At 46.0% G+C, this 22,066-nt stretch overlaps 2 protein-coding genes and 1 long non-coding RNA gene across 5 annotated transcripts in view; 1 reads left to right on the top strand and 2 right to left on the bottom strand.

Annotated features, from left to right (window-relative positions):
- The window catches only part of LOC107984406 (uncharacterized), a 51,792-nt gene that overhangs the window by 3,013 nt on the left and 26,713 nt on the right, over positions 1-22,066 (bottom strand). The gene's annotated exons all lie outside the window — the stretch shown is intronic.
- HEPACAM (hepatic and glial cell adhesion molecule) lies at positions 4,531-21,373 on the top strand. 3 transcript variants are annotated; one of them, NM_001441320.1, is made up of 7 exons: positions 4,531-4,656; positions 15,509-15,850; positions 16,568-16,849; positions 17,145-17,238; positions 17,760-17,833; positions 18,123-18,190; positions 19,138-21,373. In NM_001441320.1, exons 1-7 carry the CDS (start codon positions 4,572-4,574, stop codon positions 19,438-19,440), a joined length of 1,248 nt encoding a protein of 415 aa, NP_001428249.1. In that variant the 5' UTR covers positions 4,531-4,571; the 3' UTR covers positions 19,441-21,373. The 3 variants fall into 3 exon arrangements, with proteins under 3 accessions (NP_001428249.1, NP_689935.2, NP_001397972.1); NM_152722.5 differs by having other exon boundaries at positions 18,120-18,190; NM_001411043.1 differs by having other exon boundaries at positions 17,760-17,989; positions 18,120-18,190.
- HEPN1 (hepatocellular carcinoma, down-regulated 1) lies at positions 19,901-21,328 on the bottom strand. The gene has a single exon (NM_001037558.4). The coding sequence runs from the start codon at positions 20,825-20,827 to the stop codon at positions 20,561-20,563; it is 267 nt and encodes an 88-aa protein (NP_001032647.2). The 5' UTR covers positions 20,828-21,328; the 3' UTR covers positions 19,901-20,560.

Raw genomic sequence — 22,066 nt, 5'->3', positions numbered from 1 at the left:
ATATTTTATTGGCTAGAAGCACACACACATACTGCATTTGAGTGTAGTAAAATTTTGAAGAAGTTTTCTTCAAGTTGAAGTTTTGAAGAAGACAAAGGAGGGGAGGTATACAGTGTAACAATGCAAGCTGCTCTTAAATTTTCTTCAATTCCCCACCATCCCCTCTTCCTGTCTTCATCTCTCTCCACTTTGCACTTTCCTTGCCCCCAAATTCCTGTTTATTTCTAACGAGGAGCAATTTATCTTTTTGTTCCTTGACTCTTAATGCTCAAGGTCTTACCTTCTACTTCATGTAGCATATCAAGATATCTTTCTTGCTAAAGAAAATTCCCTCACTCACAGGAATTTTGGTGCCATTGGTTGGAAGGCTTTTTCTCATTCTGCTACCAACAATGATTCACAATTTAGTGGAGGAGATGGATATGGCTCAATTAATAACAGGTAGTGAATGGAGGGGAGGAGGAGGCATGCTAAACATAAAAATCACCACTGATGGGATATTATTAGTAAGGGCGATTTCTAAACCTCTCTTATAGTATTATCATTATTCCCTGGAGACAGAGGAACAGGCCAGGTGGGTGGGGACACTCTTACTTCTAATAGTAGAATTATTTAAAATGGTACTTATTCACATGTCATTCATGTGTGTTATTTTTTCTTGCCTTTACTATTAAGTAATTTAATTTTTTAAATGATTTTTGCTTGTCCATTTGCTTTTAAGTAACATCGGGAGTCCAGGGTCCATCAGTAGATAGCCATTTACCTTTGGGCAAATTACTTAACCCCACTACTCCTTGGTTTCCTCATCTGAAAAAATGGAGAAGTGAGACAAAGGTTATCATAAGTGTCTCTTGCTGCACAGTGAGTCCACTGCTCTGTGACTGTTACAAGACCTTCAGTTCTTGGAAGACAGAGTTCAGTTTTACAACTTCTTAGCCTCCTTTTTTGTTTGTTTATTTGTTGTTTTGGCCAGCTCTCACAGAGGTTTGCATCGAATGGTGATTCGGTTAAAATCACTACCTTCCTCCTTCCTCCCATTCTAGAGACAGATACTTCTGAGTTTCTGCTGGTGGATGCATGTGTGTTGAGGCGCTCCATCCTGAGCTGCAGGAGCTCTGTCTGGGTGCTCAGTGCAGAGTTGTGAGTACCAGCAGCCAGGGCTGCCACTGTTGCAGGGGATAGGAGTCCAGATTCCAGAGCCCCAGAGGGGTTTCCAAATAAGGAGTATTCTGAAGTAACTGTGTGCAGTGAAGGGGCCAAGAGAACTGGGCTATGCTGCTCCGAAGAGGACAGTGCCCTCGGAAATGAATCTGTCAGAGTGCTCAGAGAAGGCAGGGTGGTGGGCCTTGGCTGAGCAAGGGATGACTGCCATCAGTCAAGCAGTTCATGTCGACACCATTGTTGGAGCAGCCTCATTATGCAGAGCTCAGAATTGGGCCCCATGGGGAGATCCAGAGGAATGAAGAATTACGTTCCCTGCTCCAGAGAGGCTTGCAGGCTCATGAGGAAATGGCCGCAATAACCACACTTTCTGATCCAAAAATTGGACATGCGGACTAACAAATATAAATATATTTTTGACATTAAAGAAATGTAACATTAATAGTCGGAATATCCCTTAAAAAAAAAAAAGCCAGCATCATCAACAATCATGAGACAGACACACCCAGAGGAAAAAACTCAAAGAACACAAGGAAGGATAACATAAGGCGAGCCAAGACAGCTGAGATAAACACTTTGTGTCATGTGTGAGGCTGTTACTTTATCTTTCTGTAAATCAATTGCCTATTGGATCAGTGTCCCCACTCAAAGTGAGCCCCGGTTATTTCTGGGAATTCCCAAGGGATGCCTCATATGTGTCCACAAACTGTGGCCTCACTCCCTTGCTTGCTCCCCCAACCCCCAGTTGTCCAGCTGCTTGAGAAGCCCTCTAAAGGAACTAAGGCAAGGGCTTATCCATTCAATATTTGCCAACTGCCTATTGAGCACCTACTATGTGCCTGCCCCGTATTCGGTACTATAGACAGAGAGACAAATAAGACAGCTCTTAAATCAAAGAGCTCTCTGTTTCTTAGGAGAGAAAGGCACATAAGTAGATGATTATAAGTTTCTAAAGGCCTACTCAGTCGCTGGAAGCAAGATTGCAAAATTACTCCTCATACATTCCAACGTACAAAGGAAAGGGAAGGCCTTTATGTCTTTGTAGTTGCTGTGATCTTCCACATGAACCTCTCACCGCCCCCAGGGTAGCAGAGGAAAATATCACTCCATCTCAGTAAGCCCAGTCTGATCCAACCATTTTCACACTGTCTTTAGGTAGCTCAGTCTCTGCTTGGACAGCTCAGGCAATTGCTCAAGCAGTCTTTCCAATGTCCTCTCCCAATCCCAGCTCCTCTCTAATAAGAGTTGGGGTAAATATACATGGTGTGGCTGAAGTAACCTTGTGGCAACAGGGGGAGACAGTGTCTGTGGACCTGTGTGGTATTCTCAGGTTTCCCACCAGTCTCTACTCAGGGTCTACATTTTTTCCTGGCCTGATGAGCTACCTGAGGCTCCCACCACAGCAGTAGGTGGTCCCAGCTGTTGCCTCTGGCCTCAGAATCCCCGTACATGGCAGTGCCTTTGCTCAATCTTCTGTTTCCTGCCAGTTCTTTACCCTCTCGGCACTTCTGAGTCTCCTAAAGGGCTTCTGGACACCTAGAAGCCCTTGCAAATTCTGTGCAGGTATAAAGAGCCACCTCTGGGGCGGGGAAGTGGGGATATTGAGAACTTAGATCCTTTTAGTCTCCCTCTAGCACATTTTTCTTTCCACAGTGCTTCAGGATAACAAGGGCAGACTTCGGGCTTTCTATTTCCCAAACACTGCATCCTCCTTTTACTCCCATCCATAAGCCTCAAGGCCCAGCCATCACAGGCAAAGAGGCCATTTATCTACACTCCAGAAGGACTCTGTGATCCAGTCCACAGGCTGATCTATGATATGTCAAGGGGTAGATAAAAGAAATTAGAATGCTCTTTTGTCCCTTACAAAGACTGGCTAAGCCTTTCATCTTGCTATGGACTTTGAAATGCTATTTTAAATGTCAGAAGCTGAATATTGACTCTTTTTGTGTACCTGCTATAATAACATTACCTCTTCCAGTGGAAGAAAGGTGCCTTGAGTTGTCTAGGGAAAAGTCATAAACACAGAAATGCAAAAGGAAAAAAGAATCCCCTTTATATATTTCAGAATGTTTTCAGAGAGGTCTGTGAAGTTCAGTGCTTCCCAACTCTTCTCCCTCTGCCGAGGCTCAGAAGGGCTATGTAATAATGCTTCAGTTCTAGAAAGTTGACCTACTCAGGCTTTCTCCAGTATGTAAAAAGAATATTTAGAGAGATAATTGCTGCACTTACAAAACCAAGACCAGGGGTTAGGGATGACCAAGAAGGAAGTTGTGAAGTTTGGTCTCCCAAAAATATAAAGATCCCAGCATGAATGAAAAAAGAAACAAGGCAATTTTTAAAAAGTTTAAAACATCATCTCTGTAACAAAGGATTTGCTAGGTACTCTTCTGTACCAAATCTCCATCAACGCTCCCAACAATTCCCCTCAAGGAAGCTCTTCTTTTCCCCATTTTACAGATGAGAAATTGAAGGCTCAAAGAGGTTGCGAGCCCATCCCAAGATCACAGTTACTAGGCATCCATTCCCTTGGCCGCCCTCATGAAAAGGTGTGAACACATGAATGGGGGTCAGAGTAGAGCTAGAGTGTTTCTCCTCTTCACAGCCTCAAAACAGGAGGGCACAGCTAGGCTGTTAAGCTGGTAACAGAACCCTAGGATGCTGGCTGTTAGGAGATGACCTTCATTTTGCTCAGACATGTTCTAGAAAATTGCCTGAAAGCAGGGGAATGAACAGAGTGGCTTCTGGAAAGAGGTGTCCAGCATCTATGTGATTCTATGATAGAAGAGAAAATTCCAAGCCACGGAAAGACAAGTGTAACAATAATAGAATTCAAGCTGTTTTCCAGTCTTCTTCCTTTGGGATGGAACAGGGGTTTTCCATTTCTTCAGCAGTTGTCTGGAGTCTTTCACTTCCCAGCTTTTTAAAATCTCTTCTCCCTCCCTTTTCAGAGCTTATTGGAGGTCTGTCCTGGCATGTACCCTCCTCCTCAGGGAGAAGGAGTGTTAGGTGGAGACAGGGTAGGTTGGGACACAAAGTCCAGTTAAGTGTGTGTCCCAGCTCAGTGCTCTGAGCCCAGATCCTCATCTCCCTGGGTAGTGAGGCTCAGCACAGACAAGCAACCAACTGCTGGGCTGCCGGTGCCCCCCATGTTGGAACCTGAGTTGGAGATTATCTCCTAAGCAGATACCTGCTTCCAAACTGGGGATGTAGGGCTTGGAAACTAGAAAATGCCAGGTCTGAGGGAGAGGAAAGAACAAGTCCAGCAATACACAGAGCTCTGTGTATTCAGAGGGAAGTTGGCAGGGTTGTGTTCGGGCAGAGAAACTCCGAGTGGTACAAAGGGGACGTGCCCAGAGTGGAGAAATCATGCTAATTGTCTGCACTAGAGCTGGAGAACGCCACCCAAAATGAAGAGAGAAAGGGGAGCCCTGTCCAGAGCCTCCAGGGCCCTGCGCCTTGCTCCTTTTGTCTACCTTCTTCTGATCCAGACAGGTAGGAGGCCAGAGGGTAAGAAAGGGTCTGAAGAAAGGACCCGGGGCTTTTACAGCAGACGGAGGGGAGAGTGGAGGGCCTGAATGCCTTTGGGGCAGGAGTGGGGGAGAGTTCAGCTGCCGTGGGAAACATGTCAGGGAATTCAGGCATTAGCGTTGAACGTATTTCTTTATTTTGTGTGCCTCCCGCGCGGCCCCTACCCCCTTCCCCCAAAAGGCTGCATGACTTTGGAGCTCCCACGGCATTCAGTACATTAGATGGCGGGCACTGGGCCATTTCGTATGGGATGACTTGTTGGCGTGGGCCAGTCTGGCATTCTTTCCAAGGGATTGTGGTGGGGCTTGATGGGTAGGGGTAGGGGAAATTTTCTTTTTATACCTCCCCAGCCCCCGACTCTGGCTTCTCTGTGTGTAAAAGAGTAAGGCAGATGAAAGAAGCTTTGGAGATAATGAGCCTCCTAATGTGGGATAGTCATACCCACCTATCCATAATTCACTCCACTCCATAGCTGCTTACCTCCTCTACCGCCCCCTACCAATCCTTTGAGAAGTGATCTTATTTAAATATACCTATTTATGAGTACATACACATATACACACACACACACACACACAATTACAGAGCACCTAGGAATTCACAACTTAGTGAGGCAAACAGATGTGGAGATCATTTTACTAAACTGCAGGAACTATCATAAGTCAATTATGCAGAGAATGCATAGCAATCAGAGAAAGGTCACCTACCCCATCCAGGAAGCTGGTGCTGGTGGAGGGGGTGTTGGTAGGGTAGGACACAGGGTGTGGGAATATCAGGGGGAGGTTTTCTGGTAGAAGGAATGTGTGCACTGAATTTTAAAAGATGGGGAAAAAAGGTAGGAGTATAAGTGGGTGTTAGGGTTGGGAAATGAGCAAAGGTCAACAGCTTGAAATAACATCAAGTGTTTAGTCAGAGCCCAGCAGTTCATCACTGCTGGAGAGAAAAGCATGAATTGAGTGAGGCAAGAGCTTTGTAAACCAGACTCGTAATCTGGGGATTGAGAGGTGAGGGAATGAGCGGTTTTTAATTTGGGGACTGTCAGGGTTACATGTACCTTTCAGATAGCTTACTCAGTCTGCAGGGGGTCATTCGAGGGGAAACTGGAGGCAAATAAAATAAGAAAGGAAGTTTGTATTCATTTTCTAGGGCTCCTATAACAAAATACCACAAACTGAGTGGCTTAAACAACAGAAATGCATTATCTCAAAGTCGTGGAAGCCAGAAGTGGGAGATCGAGGTGTCAGCAGGGCCATGCTCTCTCTGAAGCTTCTAGGGAGGGCTCTGCCTTAGGGTTCTCTCCTAGCTTCTGGTAATTCCTTGACTTGTGGCAGCATCACTCCAGTCTTGGTATGGCATTCCCCGTGTTTGCATGTCTATGTCCACATTTCCCCTTTTTATAAGGACACATACTAGATTAGGTCCATCCTACTCCAGTATGATCCCTTCTTATTAGATCTGCAGTGACCCCATTGCCAAATAAGTTCACATTCTGAGGTACTTGGGGGTTAGGACTCCAACGTATGAATTTGAGGGGAACACAGGTCAAAAAGCTATTGCAATAGATCAAGAGAGAAATAGGAGAAATAACATGGACTGAAATTATAATAAAGATAGAAGGAATGAGGCATGTTGAGAAAATATTTTAGAGGTAAAGTCAGGAGCTAGTGACCTGTAGGAAGTAGGAGGATTTAGGAAGGGAAGGAGGATTGCTGTGTGAAACCTTAAACAAAAAAAATGAGTATCATACATGTTTAGATTGAAATACTTATGAGGCTTCCGTGTGAAGATGTCACATAGCCTGGAGTTGGGTGGCAGAGAGGTCAGGGTTGGAGAGAGGTATTTGGCAGCCGTTAGCCCATAGGTGAGAGTTAAAACAATAAGAATAGATAATATTACTTAGGAAGGGAAAAACGTGGGATGAAAATGAAACATCATGTAACCTCAAGATTTGTAGAGGAAGCAGAGGAAGAAATGCCCATTAAGGAGACAAAGAGAGAACAGCCAGAGAGACAGAAGGACTAGAAGCCTGTGGTGCTGTCCAGAAAATCAAGGGAGTTGAGAGTTTTCAGGAGTAGATCAATACCATTGAAGTTGTCAAAGAGATCCAATGTGACAAAGACCCAAAAGAGCCCATTGGATAAGGCAATTAAGAGGTTACTGTTGGCTTTGGTGAAATGACAATGAGCTGAAGAAATAATGAGAGCTGAAGGTATGGAGACAGTGAGTTGAGAATAGGAACGACACAAATATACAAAGCAGAGATGGCCCTAAACTCTTTCCGGTCATCAAATGGTAAGGAAAAAAATTATAGAAAGATCACGTCGGTCAGTAAGACTGGGACAAAACAAAAGGTGATCAAGGATATTCTATGTGGAAAAATGTAACTTAGTAAATACACCAAAACATTCTAAATGTGGCCGGGAGCGGTGGCTCATGCTTGTAATCTCAGAACTTTGGGAGGCCTAGGCAGTTGGATTGCTTGAGCCCAGGAGTTCGAGACCAGCCTGAGGAACATGGCGAAACCCCATCTCTACAAAAATGAAAAAATTAGCCAGACCTAGTGGTGCACGCTTGTAATTCCAGCTACTCAGGAGGCTGAGGTGGGAGGATTGCTTGAACCAGGGAGGTCAAGGCTGCAGTGAGCCATGATCACGTCACTGCACTTCAGCCTGGGTAACACCAAGAACCTTTCTCAAAAAAAAAAATTATAATGTAAGTTATGCTAATAGGATATTAGTTAATGACCTATGATAGATAAGAGGTAAGTGCTGGGAGAGGCCATTGTACTGCTGTGGACTAAAGAGTAATAAGAGCTGAGATTCTAGAAGGAATCCCTGCCATCCCTAATATATTATTTAGGAAAATGTTTGCTTCTGGGACCAATAAATTCCAAAATTTAAGTTCCTGGCAGTAACTATGTGATAGCCCATTGTAGTTTCAGACTAGGCCTGGGAAGAGGAAGGACTCTACTCTATGAAGTTTTTCAGGGACCAAGCCAATGGAGCCCTATCAACTTTGACATGTGCTTCCAAAGATCACCATGAGGTGTATCTTCTTTTCTTCCAGGTAGAGAATTTTATTTTATTTTTTTAATGGAGAAACATAAAAGGAAGACTTTGCCAAACAAGGTCTGTAAGTGATACGTATCACTTGCACTAGTTCTCTTTGCTACGACTCAGTCACATGGCCATACTTAACAACAAGGGAAGCTGGCTGGGAAATGTAGTTTTTAGGATTGGCACTCAAGGGGAGACTGGACCATGTGGCCCTGCCTCCCCAAGATTTACCTTAATCTTATACTATGGCAGACACCACCAAGCTAGCCCTGAGGCGTCATGGAGCTACACAGTCTTTAATACTCTGCCCCTGACATGGACAAATGAAGCTTCTCTAAATTCATCATTTTTATTTCCCAATTTTTAAATTCCAATTTATGAAACATTCAAATAAAAATTTTCTGGAGACCAGGACATTAACTGACAGACATAGGCACAGCATGCCGTAAATGTAGGTAAGTTTATTTTCAAGGTTGTATTCTCTGGAATACAAGAACTATTCCATCCTCTAGGGACCCAATAGAAACAAGTCTCTTACCTGGGTTCCATGCTCTTTAGCCCCAAGTTCACCCCCACATTGTAGGTGCTGTCATTTTTTAAATTGTTTATTAAAAATTACATACAAGAAGGTACATTTAGCCTAAAGATACAGTTTGGTGAGCCTTTAAAAAGTTAACAAACCCATGTAATCAACCCTCAGATCAAGAAACAGCATATTTTGGCACCTCAGAATCACCCTCATACTATCTCAGTTACTGCTGCCTTCCCACTGGGATTATAGTGGTATCCTAACTTCTAATAAAAATTAATTTTGCATGTCTTTCTATAAGTGGTATCATATGTATTCAGTCTTCTATGTCTGAACACCAAGTTTGTAGGATTCATCTAAGTTGTCGTAGTTTATTTGGTCTCACTGCTGTATAGTATTCCATTGTATGAATATGCCACAATTTATTGCTCTATTCAACTTTGATAGACACTTTGGTTGTTTCCAAACCAATCCAACCAACTTAGCCCCATCGGGGCTTTATGAACAGAGTTGTTACTGTTATACATCCTATTATAGTACATGTCTTTTGGAGAACAGATATGGGCATTTCTTTTGGGGATACATCTAGGAGTAGAATTGCTTAATTATAGGGTATTTGTGTGTTTAGTGTTCATAGACATGGCCAAACGGTTTTCAAAAATGAATGTATCAGTTTACACTCCTATCAACATGTATGAGAGTTTCAGATGATCCATATCTTCCCAATAATTGTATTTTCTTTTTTTCCTTTTGGCCATCCTATTGGGTATGAACTGGTATCAGATTCTGGTTTAAGGTTGGTGTGATGGCTCACATCTGTAATTCCAGCACTTTAAGATGCCAAGGCATAAAGATTGCTTGAGGCCAGGAGTTCAAGACCAGCCTGGGCAATGTAGTAAGATCTCTTCTCTATAATTTTTTTTTAATTAGCTGAGTGTGGTGGTGTGTTCCTGTAGTCCCAGCTACTTGGGAGGTTGAGACAAGAGAATCTCTTGAGCCCAGGAGTTTGAGGCTGCAGTGAGGTATGATCACACCACTGCAGTCCAGCCTGGGCAATAGGGTGACACCTTGTCACTGAAAAAAAAGAAGTTTAAAATTGTATTTCCATTAAAATTAATTGCCCATTTTCCTATTGTGTTGTTTGAATTTCTTTAAAATTGTGAACTTGTGGGAGTTTAAATAATATATTTTGCATATGAGCCTTTTATAGGATATATGTATTGCAAATATCTCCTCCCACTTTATGGTTTGCCTTTCGCTTTCACAATGGTATCTTTTGATGAATAGAAGCTCTTAATTTTACTGAGTCTAAAGTATCATTTCCTTCTTTGATGGTTACCACTTTCGTGTCCTTTATAAGAGATCTGTGTCTGCCCTCAAGTCAAGGACATAGTCTGTTTTCTTTTTCAAATGTTGTTGTTTTACCTTTCATATTTAGATCTGCAATCCATCCAAAATTAATATTTGTGTAAGGTGTGAGGTAAGGGTCAATTCGTTTTTATCCTACATGGCCCAGCACTATTTTGTGAAAAGCACTTTTCTCCCTGCACTGCAGTATCACCTTTGTCATCATTTGAGCAATCATATTTAAGTCTGTTTTCAGACTTTCTGTTGATCTATTTGTCTATCTTCATGTCAAGATCACAAAGTAAACCTCCTGGGATTTTGATTGGCATTGTATTAAATTATAAATCAGTTTAGGAGAATTGACAGCTTAACAAGAGTGATTTTTCCAGTCCACAAACATAGTAACTCTCTGTGTGCCATCTTAATACCTATTAACTAGGTACGCATTCCTGAACATCTACACTCCTTAGATTGTAGATAAAAAGCTACCAGCTCCTTTCTTCCTGGATCCCAAAAGCCTTCTTCACAGCTTCTGTTTCCTGATTTTCTCTCACATCCCTGAATAACTGGCGCTTCAAATGACTTGTAGGCCTCAACAGGATAAAAATGTAAGAATACAACACGGCAGCCCCAACATCCACACAATAAGTGATGCACCTATAGAGTAACAGCAGAGGAGCGGGGTGGTTTTCTCAAACCCTCATTAATTAGGAATAATATTAAAAACCAAAAGCAGAAACAATATGTTTTCCTTTTAGGAAACTGAGGTGTTCTGCCCTTGGATTATTAGATGCAGTTCTGGCTACCACACCATAAAAGGAAATAACACAGTTGAAGAAAGCCCAAGGAAGGGTATCTATGACGGCCAAAAGAATGAAGAGACTTTTTTATGGTGACAGACCCAAACTAAACCAAAAACTTTTCAGATGAAAAGGGACATGGCAGCAGCCTTTGGTGTTAGGGAATATGGATAAGGTGTGTATAGACCAAATCCTAGAACACATATTTGGCACTACCCCCATTGACACTTTTAAAAGGTAAATTTAAGACAAATACTGGCGAAAGGAAACTTTGGCCCAGCAAAGGGAGCACATAAAAATGAGTGGATGGTGATTTCTCTAAGGGATGACCCTATTAAGAAAAGCCAAGGCTATCTGCAGGTGCATTCTTATACCCTAAAGTTTGACATTCCCGGCATCGCAGCAGCTCAAAATCCTACTTGAGGAGTGGCCACCGATCTATCCCAGTACCGCATTGTTGAGGTTGATAGGGTACAACTTGCTGAGATCTCATTTCCTTTTCTTCAGCCTCTGGTGGGAAGAGAAACTTTCTATATTATGATGCCTTGGAGACAATAATTAAGTTAATCACTTCTCAAGGTTGAGTGGTCCTAGTCCTTTTATTTCCACTCTGGACCTTAGTTGTGAGCTATTTCCTCATTTCTGTGTCGTGCTTTGGCTCCTGTCCCAGTTCTCTGTGTCCCTTGAAAGTTGTGGAACCCTGAACTTAATACAGAGTACGATTTTGGCTAGAGTTTTTGGGAAACTGTTTGCTCAGCAAACTGCTCTCTCTGTCAGCTTTCAAGAAAGACTCCTTCATTCACTTATGAACACGTGTGATACATCCTTTTGGCCCACGGACATGCCCATGTTCATAGGCATGATGAGGGGACTTATCTAGAGGAGGGTAAGGCCTCAGGCAATCTGTAGGCCATAACTTCTCCAATATTTTTATCCAGAACAAATCAACTTTAAATTGGCAGAAAGGCTTCAGGGAGAAATACATAGCAAAAAGGCTACTAGGACTTTGGATGGGATAGGAGAGCATGGAAGCCAGGGAAGCTCCAGGAGGCCACAGAAGATAGAAGGGAGAGGGGAAATCCCTTCCACTTGTTTTTGAGGTTGTCACTGTCCAGACTCCCAGAAGAAGGAAATGAGAATCCTCAAAGTTTGGTGCTTGGGGACATTACACCTGTGAACCCCAAATATCTCAGACAGGTGTCAGTTAATTTACAAAGTTTATTTTGCCAAAGTTGAGGATGCACACCTGTGACACAGCCTCAGGGGGTCCTGATGACATGTGCCCAAGGTGGTCAGAGCATAGTTTGGTTTCATACATTTTAGGAAGACATTAGACATCAATCAACATATGTAAGATGAATGTTGGTTCGGTCCGGAAAGATGGGACAACTCTTAAGTCGGGAGAGGGCTTCCAGGTCATAGGCAGATAAGAGACAAATGGTTGCATTATTTTGAGTTTCTTTTTTTGATTAGTCTTTCCAAAGGAGGCAATCAGGTATGCATTTATCTCAGTGAGCAGAGGGGTGACTTTGCATAGAATGGGAGGCAGGTTTGTCATAAGCAGTGCCCAGCTTGATTTTCCCTTTAGCTTAGTGATTTTGGGGCCCCAAGATTTATTTTCCTTTCACATACCAATTTACTAAACTCCAGCATGGCTCTGCACATGTAACCCTTGCGTGCATAGCATACTACTGCACACTGGGTCCCGAGAAAGGGGGTAGATGTTCCCCAGCTATTTGATCATCACCCCAGTGGCCTTTAATAAAGCTCATGACTTTTTCAGGGCCACCTCTTGTTATCCATACCAAAGCCTATTTGCCTACTCAGGGAAATTCGAAAGTTTGGTTTTCTAAATCAAGCCATGCCTTGGACCTAGCAGTTGATAATCACAGAAATTAAGAATTGGAAGAAACCTTAAGGATCATGTGGCCAAATGGACTTTAGTCTGATGCGCAGAGCCAGTAGGGATTCCCAGTTGCTCCTTGGGTTATTGAGGGGGGATAGGACTCATCCCCACCACCTCTTCTACCAAAGCAGGTGAGATGGAACCATATTGCCTTTTTCCATTTTTATTTAAGATTTTGTGGGAAGAAAGTATCATTAATTTTTAAAAGTCTGAAAATAGTTTATGTTGTTCATTTTACTTGCCCCAAATTAAGATTTTTGTTCAACAGCAAGCATATGATATTCACACATTCAGCTTTAATCAGTAGAGCTGTCTCTTCTGCTTTAATTAATTAATTTACTTATTTATTTATTTTTTGAGAGAGAGTCTTGCTCTGTCACCCAGCCTGGAGTGCAGTGGTGCAATCTCAGCTCACTGCAACCTCCACTTCCCAGGTTCAAGCGATTTTCCTGCTTCAGTCTCCAGAGTAGCTAGGATTACAGGTGTGTGCCACCATGCCCGGCCTGTTTCTTCTACTTTTAAGGTTTTATGGTTCTAACATTCCTGGCAAGTAATGAATCATAGAATGTCAGAGCTAAGGCCAGGTATGAATGGCCCACGCCTGTAATCCCAGCACTTTGGGAGGCCAACACGGGTGGATTGCTTGAGCTCAGGAGTTCAAGACCAGCCACCTGGGCAACAAGGTGAAATCCCGTTTCTACAAAAAAATACAAAAAAAAAAAAACAAAAAAAAAAAACCTAGCTGGGCATAGTGGCACATGCCTGTGGTCCCAGCTACTTGGAAGGCTGAGGTGGGAGGATCGCTGGATCCTGGGAGGCAGAGGTTGCAGTTAGCCAAGATCGCCCCACTGCACTTCAGTCTGGGTAACAGAGTGAGACCTTGTCAAAAAAAAAAAAAGTCAGAGTTAAGAAGCCCCCCTAGAGATCTTCTGGTCCTGCTACTTCATTATACAGAGGAGGAAGCTGAGGCCCAGCAAGGTGTAAAAGTAGCCAGTTGGCCTTTCCTTGGTCATTTCCAAAGATGAGGAGCTCACTACTTAGCAAAGCACTTTTTCCAAAAATGGATCTAATATGTTTAGTAACCACGCAGTGGCTCATGCCTGTAATCCCAGCACTTTGGGAGGCTGAGGCGGGCAGATCACAAGGTCAGGAGATTGACACCATCCTGGCTAACACGCTGAAACCCCGTCTCTACTAAAAAATACAAAAAAATTGGCCGGGCGTGGTGGCGGGCGCCTGTAATCTCAGCTACTGAGGAGGCTGAGGCAGGAGAATGGCGTGAACCTGGGAGGCGGAGCTTGCAGTGAGCTGAGATTGTGCCACTGCACTCCAGCCTGGGTAACAGAACAAGACTCCGTCTCAAAAAAAAAATTTTTTTTTTGCTTTGTTCTTCACCACCAACCTTTTCGTTTAATTGCCTCTTGGTTTGGTCTGGGCCCTCCAAGCATGAGGAGAGAAATAAGGAATGAAAAGGTACAGCTCAGTTTCCTCAACTGAATGGCAGCAGCAGCAGAGTGAGAAATAAGGCTCAGAAAGAATGAGGGAGCTTCAGAGGGAATCCATCAAAGGAAGCGGCAAGGGGTGCAGAGGGACTGAGAATCTGCATGTATGTGTCTATTCAGCTAAACTCAGCCCTGCTCCCAACCGGCGTCCTCTCCAGAAGACCCTCCTTCGGGTGGTTGGATTGCTCTACAAGGCCAGGTGACACCAAATAACAGCATCTTTTCAGATCCCAAAGCTCCTAAGAGGTCTCTGAAATGCCCTCTGGATAGGGCATCCATTGGACAAGTGGTAAAATCCCAGAATTACAAGGCTGGAACAAACCAATGAGACCATCTAGCCTACTACTCCTTTTATCTGTAGGGAATCTGAGCTCCAAGGAGATGGGACCCTCCTAAGTCATGTATCAATAATAAGGCCCAAAACTCTGCTCAATTTTGTGTTCTGTCTGCTGTATGACAATGACTAATATGCATATTGTACTTTCCAATCCTGTGAACTTGATAAGGCAGTTGCTGTTGTTATTTTTTTATTTTTTATTTTTTTGAGATGGAGTCTTCCTCTGTCACCCAGGTTCAAATGCAGCAGCACTATCTCAGCTCACTGCAACCTCTGCCTCCTGGGTTCAAGCGATTCTCATGTCTCAGCCTCCCGAGTAGCTGGGATTACAGACACATGCCACAATGCCTGGCTAATTTTTTTTATTTTTAGTAGAGACGGGGTTTTGCCATGTTGGCCAGGCTGGTCTCGAACTCCTGACCTCAGGTGATCTGCCCATCTTGGCCTCCCAAAGTGCTGCGATTACAGGCGTGAGCCACCGCGCCCAGCCTTGTTATTATTATCCTTATTTTACAAATGAGAAGAATGAGTACCCAAATCCACATAGCCAGTAAGAGGTAGAGCCCAGCATGAAAAAGCTTTTTCTGATTCTAAGCTCTTTGTTCTACCCATCGCAAATCCTTCTTCTAGGGGTACAGATTGGGCTGGAGTTTGGGTGAATTCCCAAAACCACCTTACTAGTTGCAGGACTATTCTGCACTGAGTGAGCCTAGTAAGATGCTACATGCATCTGCAAAAAAAACGGGAAGAGGCTCTCGGTATAACTAGAAAGTGGTCTTCAGGCCCCTAAACTTTCCCTTTACTGGCACTGTCTCACGACCCGCTCCTTTCTTTGTGAATCTGTGTTCCATGCTTTCTCCATCTCCTCACCCTCCCAATCCCCAATCAAGAAGATCTGACAAATTCACCCAGAGGTCTAATGACCTATAAGCTTCATAGGGGTAGGGATTTTTGTTGGCTTTGCTCATTGCTATATCCTAAAGACATAGAAAAGTGTCTGGCAGATAGGAGATGTTCAATAAATATTTTTATGAATGGAGCGCATAGGGTGTGGGTGAGCCACAAGAGAAAGGCAATAGACAAAGTGCCAGAGAGGCAGAGGGCTAGGTGGAAAAAGCATTGAAGGCCATGAGATGGCTGTGAGAGAGAACAAAGGGGCAGAAGTGCACAGAGCTACTGTGGGGGAGGAGATAGCACCCAGGCTTAAGAAGCCAGGATTGGCAGGGAGTGAAGAGCCAGAGAGGCGAAGCTTTGGGAGATCAGAGGGCTTAAAGTTGGGAGTGGGCTAAGGAGCCCAGGGCCTGATGCTTCCCTCTTCCTCATGGGCCTCTGTTCACAGACCCCCTGGAGGGGGTGAACATCACCAGCCCCGTGCGCCTGATCCATGGCACCGTGGGGAAGTCGGCTCTGCTTTCTGTGCAGTACAGCAGTACCAGCAGCGACAGGCCTGTAGTGAAGTGGCAGCTGAAGCGGGACAAGCCAGTGACCGTGGTGCAGTCCATTGGCACAGAGGTCATCGGCACCCTGCGGCCTGACTATCGAGACCGTATCCGACTCTTTGAAAATGGCTCCCTGCTTCTCAGCGACCTGCAGCTGGCCGATGAGGGCACCTATGAGGTCGAGATCTCCATCACCGACGACACCTTCACTGGGGAGAAGACCATCAACCTTACTGTAGATGGTAAAGCGCTCTGGCAGGGAAAGAGGCAAGACTGGCAGGTGGGACTAGGGAAAGGTCTGCCCAGCGCACCAGCTAGACTGAGGGAAAACCAACCCAAAAGGCACTTGGGAGCTGAGAATGAGGCAAGTGGACATTAGAAGTTGGCAGACAGGCACAGCACAGCTAACATGTAGAGTGATTGCCATGTGCCAGAAACTATTCTAAGTGCTTTGCATATGTTGACTCATTTAATGCTTATAATAGTCTGGTGATAGTTCATATCATTATCCTAATTTTGCAGATGAGGAAAGTGAGCCACTGAAAGGTTGAATAACTTGCCCAAGGTCACACAGCTAGAAGTGATAGAGCCAAGATTTGAACCTAAACAGTTGGACCTAGGCTTAGCCCAACTGAAATATCTTCCTGGCTGGGTCAGTTTAAGACATTAAAGCCCAGGGTTCATGGCAAGGCATTTGGAAAGAGGGAATGAGGGCAACACCATGTCTGCATTGTTCAGCATTGTACCCGCCATGCCTAATTGGTGCTCCATAAATAGTCAGTGAAACGAATGAATAAGCGATGGGAAAGAACTGGACTTAGGATGTCTGAAGTCTTCTCAGCCCACAGATTGAGTTGGAAGGTAGTGTTAAAGGTGTGTTGGAAGGCAGGGAGCTAAAAAGGGGAAGGGAGACACTTCTTAGCCAATGACTTACAGGCTCCCCCATTCCTGCGGCTCAGTGCCCATTTCGAGGCCACAGGTGTTGGTGGCTTCAACCACTGTGCTGGAGCTCAGCGAGGCCTTCACCTTGAACTGCTCACATGAGAATGGCACCAAGCCCAGCTACACCTGGCTGAAGGATGGCAAGCCCCTCCTCAATGACTCGAGAATGCTCCTGTCCCCCGACCAAAAGGTGCTCACCATCACCCGCGTGCTCATGGAGGATGACGACCTGTACAGCTGCATGGTGGAGAACCCCATCAGCCAGGGCCGCAGCCTGCCTGTCAAGATCACCGTATACAGTGAGTTTCCCCGCAGGCTTTCCTTTAGTACTCAAAGCCCCAAGAGGCAGGTGACCATGAGGGACTGAGGACATCCCAAAGAAATGTCACTGGGGGGAGGGGAACAGAGATGGGCCAACTATCCATGGAGGACACCAACAGGTAGCCAGTGGGTTCTGTACAAGCTCCACCACCAGCATCAGCCAGGCATGCAGCCTGGGGCTCCCCCTCTCTTCCATCCATGGCAGGAAGTTCTGCTCACCACATCTTGCCCCTTTGAAGTCCCTCCTGCCTCTCTGCTTCTCTCTCTCCCTAGGAAGAAGCTCCCTTTACATCATCTTGTCTACAGGAGGCATCTTCCTCCTTGTGACCTTGGTGACAGTCTGTGCCTGCTGGAAACCCTCCAAAAGGTCTGGGTAACTCTCCTGAGCACCTGAGTCCTTCAATCCATCCCAAACCTAAGCCCCATTATTTTCTTAAGTCTCTTTAAATGCCTTTCCTCCCAGGGTTTTGCATCTCTTTCCGAGAGATCCATTCTTCCATTGTGTATGCACCAGCATCTTGTGCTCCAAAGCCCCCACAACCCCAGCACCAGTAACAATAGGTTTTTTCACTGGCCAACCACCTTTTTTGGGACCAGGCACTGTGGCTGTGGTTAGCCTGCTACCTTTTAAGTATGATTATCTGTAGTTTACAGATAATGACACTGAGACTCGGATTGGTTAAATGACTTGCCCACAGTCACAACGCTAGTGACAGACTCAAGGTGCAAACCTAGATGTGATTCCTTCCAAAGCTCATGAACTGTACCCAGCCCATCTTCCTGTCACAAGGCCTCTTTTATGGCCATCAGATCCCTCCCTGTGTCCCCACTGGATCTTCTACTCACATTCAATAATTCGGCTCATAGTGGGGCTGAATTGATTCACAGGAAACAGAAGAAGCTAGAAAAGCAAAACTCCCTGGAATACATGGATCAGAATGATGACCGCCTGAAACCAGAAGGTGAGCTCCCAGCCACCCAATCACCCATCCCATCAACAATCAGATCAGTGGGCTGCTGGGAAAAGGCAGAACTGGGCGACAAGGAAAACAGCTCTGCAGGGACCCTTCCCCCACCAACTGCACGAAGACTGCAGAGGAGGGAAAGGTTTGGCCAAGGTAGGAGCCAGGATATTCAGATATGTTGGTGGAGGTTGTGGCGGGCCATTCGGGAAGCACAGAGAGTAGGTGCCGGCTGGTGGGGAGAGTCTGTACCTGGGCCAGCCACCCGCTTCTCTCCCCTGTGCAGCAGACACCCTCCCTCGAAGTGGTGAGCAGGAACGGAAGAACCCCATGGCACTCTATATCCTGAAGGACAAGGTGAGCGGCTCTGGACTGGGTGCCCAGAAACATGCAGTGATCCCCTCCCACATGCCTGATGCTAGGGAGCCATACTATATTCCTATCCCTTTATAGCAGCAGTCCCCAACGGTTTTGGCACCAGGGACTGGTTTCAAGGAAGAAAATTTTTCCATGGATGGTGATGCGGGTGGTTTCAGGATGAAACTGTTCCACTTCAGATCATCAGGCATTGGATTCTCTTAAAGAGCGTGCAACCTAGATCCCTCGCATGCTCAATTCACAATAGGGTGTGTGCTCCTACGAGAATCGAGAATCGAATGCAGCCACGAATCTGACAGGAGGCGGAGCTCAGGCGATAATGCAAGCCATGGGGCATGTCTGTAAATACATATGAAGCTTTGCTCTCTGGCCTACCGCTCACCTCCTGCTCTGCCGCTCCCTTCCTAACAGGCTATGGACCAGTACCAGTCCTCGGCCTGGGGGTGGGGACCCCTGCTTTATAGTACTCAGAATAACCCTGTGAAATATTTGTGTCATGCACATTTTAGAGATTAGAAAAAACAAGGCTGTGAGATTAAATGACTTGCTCAGGATTAAACAAGTCAATGAGTGGCAGATCTAGGTTTCAAACCTAGGTCTTTGGACACCAGTTCTGGTGATTTCCCCAGTATTCCACAACTAACTGTCCCAGGCTGTCCACGACGGGTGGAAAGAGGAGAGTAAAGGGGAAAAGCACTCAAATCATCGCATTTCAACATTTACTTAACACCTATTATGTGCTAGGAGGCCCCATGCTCAGTGTGGAATATCGCCAGGAAAACCAGACCTGTCTGCAGCCTTCCAGGAGGTGGGCGTGCAGAGGGAAACTAGGTCCCTCCCCTCGGAATTCCAGCAAGCTCTAACACCAGGCGCGCTCCCAGGCTGGGCTGACTGTCCCCTGACCCCTGCGGCGCGTGTCCTTGCAGGACTCCCCGGAGACCGAGGAGAACCCGGCCCCGGAGCCTCGAAGCGCGACGGAGCCCGGCCCGCCCGGCTACTCCGTGTCTCCCGCCGTGCCCGGCCGCTCGCCGGGGCTGCCCATCCGCTCTGCCCGCCGCTACCCGCGCTCCCCAGCGCGCTCCCCAGCCACCGGCCGGACACACTCGTCGCCGCCCAGGGCCCCGAGCTCGCCCGGCCGCTCGCGCAGCGCCTCGCGCACACTGCGGACTGCGGGCGTGCACATAATCCGCGAGCAAGACGAGGCCGGCCCGGTGGAGATCAGCGCCTGAGCCGCCTCGGGATCCCCTGAGAGGCGCCCGCGGTCTGCGGCCAGTGGCCCGGGGGAAAGCTGGGGCTGGGAAGCCCGGGCGCGGCGCGCTGGGGACGAGGGGAGGTCCCGGGGGGGCGCTGGTGTCTCGGGTGTGAACGTGTATGAGCATGCGCAGACGGAGGCGGGTGCGCGGAGGCGGCAGTGTTGATATGGTGAAACCGGGTCGCATTTGCTTCCGGTTTACTGGCTGTGTCCTCACTTGGTATAGGTTGTGCCCTCTTAGGACCACATAGATTATTACATTTCTGGCCCAATACCCAAAAGGGTTTTATGGAAACTAACATCAGTAACCTAACCCCCGTGACTATCCTGTGCTCTTCCTAGGGAGCTGTGTTGTTTCCCACCCACCACCCTTCCCTCTGAACAAATGCCTGAGTGCTGGGGCACTTTTTTTTTTTTTTTTTTTTTTTTTTTTTTTGCAAGTTCAGATTAGAGAGGCCACTTTCCCAGAATCCACAGCTGCACTAAGCTAAGGAGAAGCCAGATGCCGGTTACTGGGTGTGCAGGGGCTGTTCTGAGCTGGGGGGATCATTGTGAAGGCCTTCTTCCCTGGGCACCTGGTACCTGGGGACCTACAAGGTGGTGAGGGAAGGGTACGAGTACATTCCTTTTCCCTCTGACCTGGGCGCTAGCAAGGGCAAAGAACCCGAGCCTGCCAGCTTGGCCTCCTCCCACAGCCTCCCTCGGAGGCATGCCATGCCAAGCACTCTTTCTGTCTCTGTTCATGAATAAAAGAGATGGATGGGCTTATTCTTATAGAGAAGTGAATTTCACTTACTCCCCTGGCCCGAAAACTAGACCAAATGAGGAACTGTTTTAGCTCATCAAACTCATATATTCCTCCTGGCTTCCTTACAAAACAAGCCTTTCAAACAATCATTGTCCTCAGGAAAGTTGTTGAGCTTCCTCCAGCTGTGAGAATAAGTCCTAATCTCCAGAGAAATGGTGGGGGGAGGAGGAGGCTTATTGCTTCCCAGCATTTGGGGGGAACATGATCCAACCCCTGGCCTCCTGCCACCCATCTGCCCTGCTCCCACATGCTCAGGTCCCAGGGCACAGAAAAAGGGCAGACTCCCTAATCACACTAACATCAAAATAAAGAGGCTGGGCCGCTGTGTAGCCAGGACATGCCCATGCCACCGCCTATTGAACAGTTCATAGGAGTGGCAGTAATCTACTGTGTGAGGAGAGAGGGCAATTAAAAAGCTGAAAGAGAAGGAGGCCCTCTGTGTATTCCATTCCCTCCTCCTTAATGCCTCCAAGGGTCCTTGCATCCCTAGTCTCCTAAACTCCAGCTCTGATTCGCCATCAACCCATGGAGCAATTCCAAGGCCCCAGTTACCCATCACCTCCACACCAGGTCAAGTTTTGTCTCAGCCCCAAAGGCACTGACATTTCTAGTTTGCCCCCTCTGCCCTGAACCCCACAGCATGCCTGTCTCAGCTCCCTGTCCCTCGGCACTTCCCCAGGCTCATTTGAGCAGGTGTGCCTTCGCAGCTCCCCTAAACTTCCCAGGTGCCTCATCCATAATGAGATAATGCATGTAGGGGAAAAGTTTCTCAAGAAGGTGGAAGAGGCAGCAGGACTTGGATAAGGAGTACCTGCTGGTCAGCCTTGAGATGCACAGGTGAAGGTTAGGGTGAGATGAGAACATGCCATACCCTGGTGCTGAATCCCTGAGGGGCCAGCTTGCCAGGCTTAAGCCAAATCTGCCTTAAATTGGGGGTGGGGAGGGGTAAGTAAGGAAGTGGGGTTTGTTTTTGTGTTGTTTTCATCTTCATCTTTGTATTACTAGCATCCAGCAGAGTGCCTAGCACATACTGGATGCTCAATAAACTTTTGATGAAATGAAATGACAACTTTATTCCACATAAACAAGGGTAACAAAACAAGCTGCTTAAATATACCAGTCATTTCTCTTCTTCTCCTTTCACCTCCTTTACCCTCTTTCCAAACCCCAAATTGTCCGTTCCAAAATCACTTACCCGTTCATTCATTTACTTATTCAGGTGTTCTTTTATTTATTCGACAAACATTTGTTTACCTACCATGGACTAGGCCCTGTGCTAGACACTGCTGATACAGCATAACTATGTCAGGAAGACAGATCAGTAAACAGATTACAATATAGTGTGTAAAATGCAATGGCAGAAGTAGATACAAGGTGCTCTGGGAGCATGTAGATTAGATGTCAGCAAAGGCATCTTGGAGGAGAACAGACCTGAGTTGAGTCTTTCTTAGAAAGACTTGTTAGTTAATCTGGTTTTTAAAAGTATGAGAGGACACACTCCAAGCAGAGGGAGAAGCATGTATAAAAGCTTGGAAGTGCAAGACACGATGGGGGGGAATTCAGGGTACTGAGCCTAGCAGTTGATGAAATTATTTCAGGAAAGTATACAAAGTAGAAGGTGAAGAAAGCTGCAGATAGATTTCTGAGGCATCAGTATGTGTAGAAAATTTAAAAGGACTTCACCAAGAAGGCTTAAAAGGCACAGCCAGCAAGATAGGAGAATATATAGGAGATAACTATATCACACAATCAAAAGAACAAGAGAGTTTCAAGAAAAAGGGAGCATTCGGGACTA

The sequence above is a fragment of the Homo sapiens genome, chromosome 11 (genome assembly GCF_000001405.40).
Source record: "Homo sapiens chromosome 11, GRCh38.p14 Primary Assembly".
NCBI classification, from domain to species: Eukaryota; Metazoa; Chordata; class Mammalia; order Primates; family Hominidae; genus Homo; species Homo sapiens.
Note: the sequence above shows the minus strand (reverse complement) of the source record. Positions and strands in the feature narration are given on the sequence as shown.

What these genes read in the sequence shown, in the direction of transcription:
- HEPACAM (NM_001411043.1), top strand. Translation starts at nt 4,572, where the DNA reads ATGAAGAGAGAAAGGGGAGCCCTGTCCAGAGCCTCCAGGGCCCTGCGC. An exon ending in TGCTGGAAACCCTCCAAAAG is followed by an intron (nt 17,239 to 17,759) that starts GTCTGGGTAACT and finishes ATTGATTCACAG; the next exon opens with GAAACAGAAGAAGCTAGAAA. An exon ending in GAGGGAAAGGTTTGGCCAAG is followed by an intron (nt 17,990 to 18,119) that starts GTAGGAGCCAGG and finishes TCCCCTGTGCAG; the next exon opens with CAGACACCCTCCCTCGAAGT.
- HEPN1 (NM_001037558.4), bottom strand. Translation starts at nt 20,827, where the DNA reads ATGGGTAACTGGGGCCTTGGAATTGCTCCATGGGTTGATGGCGAATCA.